Source organism: Homo sapiens, chromosome 20 (assembly GCF_000001405.40).
Source record: "Homo sapiens chromosome 20, GRCh38.p14 Primary Assembly".
In the NCBI taxonomy this organism is placed as follows: domain Eukaryota; kingdom Metazoa; phylum Chordata; class Mammalia; order Primates; family Hominidae; genus Homo; species Homo sapiens.
Window position 1 is genome coordinate 33782679 of NC_000020.11, and position 4694 is coordinate 33787372.

The following is a 4694-nucleotide window of genomic DNA, read 5'->3' on the forward strand; positions in this document are numbered from 1 at the left end:
CCAAGGCAGAAAGGTCACCTAGCTGGGAAACGATGGGGCTAATAAGCAGTGGGGCAGCTGGGTCTGTGCCCGTGACCAACGCTCTACCAAAATGAATGAATGTGTGAATACATGCCCTTCTTTTGCCTGGACTGGAAAGAGATTTTCACTTCTGTGTTTTCTGGCTTTAAAAAAATTACCTTTCATACAAAAATTAGCTGGGTGTGGTGGTGGGCGCCTGTAATCCCAGCACTTCGGGAGGCTGAGGCGGGTGGATCACCTGAGGTCAGGAGTTAGAGACCAGCCTAACCAACATGGAGAAACCCTGTCTCTACTAAAAATAAAAATTAGCCGGGAGTGGTGGCAGGCACCTGTAATCCCAGCTACTCAGGAGGCTGAGGCAGGAGAATCGCTTGAACCTGGGAGGCAGAGGTTGCAGTGAGCCAAGATTGCACCATTGCACTCCAGCCTGGACAATATGAGCGAAACTGCATCTCAAATAAAATAAAATAAAATAAATAAAAGTAAAAAATTACCTTTCCATAGATTTCTTTAGTAATTTGCTCATTTTCCATTAATTCTTTTACTTGTCAGTCATTTGACCCAGGCTCTGTGCTGGGGAGTGAAAGCCCCTCTCTGCCTACTTGGAGCTCCTGTGTAAGCAAAGGGCTGTCATTCAGTGGGTTAAATGCTGACTTAAAAGTGTGGGTGGACATTCAAAGGCAGAATTGGCTTTGCCAGGCATAGCACCAGGGAGCTAGGGAAGGCTTGACAGGAGCAGTGACGCCCGAGTTGGGTCTTGAAGGATGTGTAAGAGTTTGTCAGTAAAGAGAGAAAGGCCCTCTGGGTGGGAAGAACATCCGGGCAAAAGCTCAGGGCAGACATGTTTTGTCCGGGCTTGTGGGGAGCCATGAAGTTCTAAGGGCTGAGTCTGACATTCTGGGTCCTGGCCCCTGATAGCCAGAAAGGAAGGTGTCTCTATAGGGGCTGGAAACGAGGAACCTTTGAGTTCAGAAGATGGCCAGGGGAGGGGGGCCCGGTGAGTCAGACCTGAAGGCCCCTCTTCTCTCCCAGGTGTTTCCTTGTGAACGCTACCTGCGGCGTCATCTGCCCACCCACGGCAGCGGGGGCAGGTTCAAGTGCCAAGTGTGCAAGAAGTTCTTCCGGCGGGAGCATTATCTCAAACTGCATGCTCACATCCACTCGGGTAGGTACCCTGCCCCTGAGAACTCCAGCCCAGCCCCTCCCCTCCCCCTCCCCCTCTCCTCATGCCTTTCTCTCTCTTCCCATCCCCATCTGGCTCTTCTCCCTGTCTCCCTCAGCCCCTTTTCCCTCCACTTCTCCATCTCCCTCCCCATCTCACTCAGTCCCTCCCCTCATCTCTCTCAGCCCCCGTCTCCCTCCTCCTCCCCATCTCCCTCCTCCTCCCCATCTCCTTCCTCCTCCCCATCTCCCTCCAGCACCCTTCTCCCTCCTCTTCCCCATTTCCTTTCCCCTCTCCCTCTCCCTACTCCTCTCCCTCCCCCCTCCCTCCGCCTCCTCACCTCCCTCCCTCTCCCCATCTCCTTCCCCCTCCCCCATCTCCCTCCCTCTCTCCATCTCTCTCCCCCCCATCTCCCTCACCCTCCCCATCTCCCTCTTCTTCCCCATCTCCCTGCAGCCCCCTTCTCCCTCCTCCTTCCCATCTCCCTCTAGCCTCCCTTCCCCTCCCTCTCCCCATCTCCTTCTAGCCCCCTCCAGCCTCCCTCCCCTGTCCTCTCCCCTCTCCCTCCAGCCCCCTCCCCCTCCTCTCTGTCGCTGTCTGTCTCCCTCCAGCCCTCCTGCCTCTCCCCTTGCTCCTCCTTCCTCTCTCCTTCCTGGCCCCTGATCCACCTGCCTTAATTCATGAACAAGGGATTCCCACCACCGCTAAAGCAGAGAAGAGCCCCTGGAGGTTGTGTGGAAGGGACTTTTTATTCTTTTTTTTTTTTTCTTTGAGACAAAGTCTCGCTCTTGTTGCCCAGGCTGGAGTGCGGTGGCAGATCTTGGCTCACTGCAACCTCTGCCTCCCGGGTTCAAGTGATTCTCCTGCCTCAGCCTCCTGAGTAGCTGGGATTACAGGCTCCCACCACCATGTCCAGCTAGTTTTTTGTATTTTTAGTAGAAACAGGGTTTTGCCATGTTGGCCAGGCTGGTTTCGAACTCCTGACCTCAGGTGATCCTCCTGCCTCGGCCTCCCAAAGTGCTGGGATGACAGGCGTGAGGCACTGCACCCAGCCTGTGTGAGGGACTCTTGACTCTGCCCCCTGTGGTGGGGACACTGCTCTCACTGTAAGTTCCCACTCAAACCTGAACAAAACGCCATCTCCTTGGTTCCCCAGTTGAAACACACTGACATTTTCTTTTCTATTAATCTTTAGATTTTTTTATTAGTTAAATTTTTTAATTGCTTTTTAATTGAAAAGGATCTAAAGATTGAGAAAACTTGAGGGAAAATCCTTGACGGGACAAAAGCATATATAAAAAAATAAACTCCCTCTCACTTCAGATGGACAATCCAATGTTTTTCCTTTTTTTTCTTTCCTACGACCTATGGTAAAAAATACATTTCATATTGCAACCCAGGAAGCACACATAGGATGTATTGCAACAAAAGTTTTACAAAACAGTGTTTTCTATTTTGTCCTTTTCAATTTTAGTTTTTTTATTTTTTATTTTTATTTTGAGACAGGGTCTCACTCTGTCACCCAGGCTGGAGTGCAATGGTATGATCTCACTACAACCTCCGCCTCCCAGGTTCAAGCCATTCTCGTGCCTCAGCCTCCCGAGTAGCTGGGATTACAGGCGCCCACCACATGCCTGGCTAATTTCTGTATTTTCAGTAGAGACGGGGTTTCACCATGTTGGCCAAGATGGTCTCAAACTCCTGGCCTCAGGTTACCCACCCACCTTGGCCTCTCAAAGTGCTGGGATTACAGATGCAAGCCACCACACCCAGCCTATTTTTAATTCTTAAAATAACCACCAACAGGGTGTAACTTGTGGTTTGCAGTTTGCAAAATACTCCTAATTCTCTTCCCCAAAGGTAACTGTTAGCGGTCTAGTCTGCATTCTTCTAGTTTTATTTTACACATATATAAAACGCTTGCTTACGTTTGCAAAAATGAGCACATACTATAACTTATGTGCCTTTTTTTCCTTATCATATACCTTGGCGATGTTCCCCAAGGAATGTGTGCTTACAGTTCCCCTGGAGGCTAAATTCTGTGGGTCCCCCTCCCCCGGGCCCCCCCCAGAAGTTGTTACCAACAGCACCTTCTTTTTCACATCTGAGTAGTCTTCCTCAATGAATTTTTCATCTTGTATTTAGCCAGTTCTCTATGTATGAACCTTTTTTTTTTTTTTTTTTTTTTTTGAGACTGAATGGCACGATCTTGGTTCACTGCAACCTCTGCCGCCTGAGTTCAAGCAATTCTCCTGCCTTAGCCTTCCAAGTAGCTGGGATTACAGGTGTGCACCATCACGCCCAGCTAATTTTTGTATTTTTAGTAGATATGTGGTTTCACCATGTTGGCCAGGCTGGTCTCGAACTCCTGACCTCAAGTGATCCCCCCGCCCCAGCCTCCCAAAGTGCTGGGATTACAGGCATGAGCCATCACGCCCAGCCTATGTATGAACCGTTAAATTACATTTCAGCTATTAGTTTGTACACACAATGCTGTGTGGGTCCCTTGGCAAGCTTTTGGAAGTGTATCTGTAGTGTATATTCTTAGGAGTGGAAATGCTAGGTTAAAATGCATGTGTAATACTGAGTTTCAGTTTGGGATGATGAAAAAATTCTAGAGACAGATGATGGTGATGGTTGCATGATGGTGCAAATGTACTTATGCCACTGAACTATACACTTAAAAGAAGCTTAAGATGGTCAATTTTCTGTTATGTATATTTCTCCACAATAAAGAAGGGAAAAGAAGTAATGCATTGTAAGTTTGATATTACCAAATTGCTCTTTATGGCTTTTAAAAATTATTATTCAAAAGTAATACATGCTGCCAGGCGCGGTGGCTCATGCCTGTAATCTCAGCACTTTGGAAGGTGAAGGTGGGTGGAGCACCTAGGTCAAGAGTTTGAGACCAGCCTGGCCAACGTGATGAAACCCCGTCTCTACTAAAAATACAAAAATTAGCCGGGTGTGGTGGTACGCACCTGTGATCCCAGCTACTCAGGAGGCTGAGGCAGGAGAATTGCCTGAACCCAGGAGATGGAGGTTGCAGTGAGCCAAGATCAAACCACTGCACTCCAGCCTGGGCAACAGAGCAAGACTCTGTTTCAAAAAAAAAAAAAAAAATACAAAAAACGAAACAAAACAAAACAAAAAAAACCACACAAATAATACATGGTTATTATAAAAATGGAAACAATATAGGAGTACATAAAGTAAAATGTTAAATTTCCCCTTCAAGTTGTAGTTGCCACTGACACTTTGGTCTGTCCTTTCCCTACACCTCCCCATCTTTCTTCCTGCATCTTCAGTTTATTTACAGAGACACATGGCCAGGGCTTTTTTGGGGTGTGCAGGTTGTATTTTTTCTTTCTTTTTTTTTTGTTGGAGCTTACATATCCAGTAGGGATTATATTTTTTTCTAAGAAAGACGAGATTGTGTTAAGCTGTTCTACTGCTTTCTTTCCCCACTAGCAGTATGTCCAGGAGATCTTTCCAGATCAGGAAACACAGA

At 47.7% G+C, this 4694-nt stretch overlaps 1 protein-coding gene across 4 annotated transcripts in view, besides 1 other annotated feature; it reads left to right on the forward strand.

Annotated features, from left to right (window-relative positions):
- ZNF341 (zinc finger protein 341) overlaps nt 1-4694 on the forward strand; it is a 60274-nt gene that overhangs the window by 50683 nt on the left and 4897 nt on the right. For all 4 annotated transcript variants that reach the window (NR_104259.2, NM_001282933.2, NM_032819.5 and 1 more), the window contains one exon: nt 1054-1186. Coding sequence is in view for 3 of the 4 variants with exons in the window: in NM_001282933.2 (NP_001269862.1) it covers nt 1054-1186 (133 nt within the window). In the remaining variant the exon portion in view is untranslated. The remainder of the gene's footprint in view (nt 1-1053; nt 1187-4694) is intronic.
- Nucleotides 2999-3048: a silencer, noted in NCBI's record as "silent region_12823". NCBI's record gives its function as "represses an Ori minimal core promoter by ATAC-STARR-seq in GM12878 lymphoblastoid cells {active_cell/tissue: GM12878}" and the evidence as "EXISTENCE:reporter gene assay evidence [ECO:0000049][PMID:35858748]".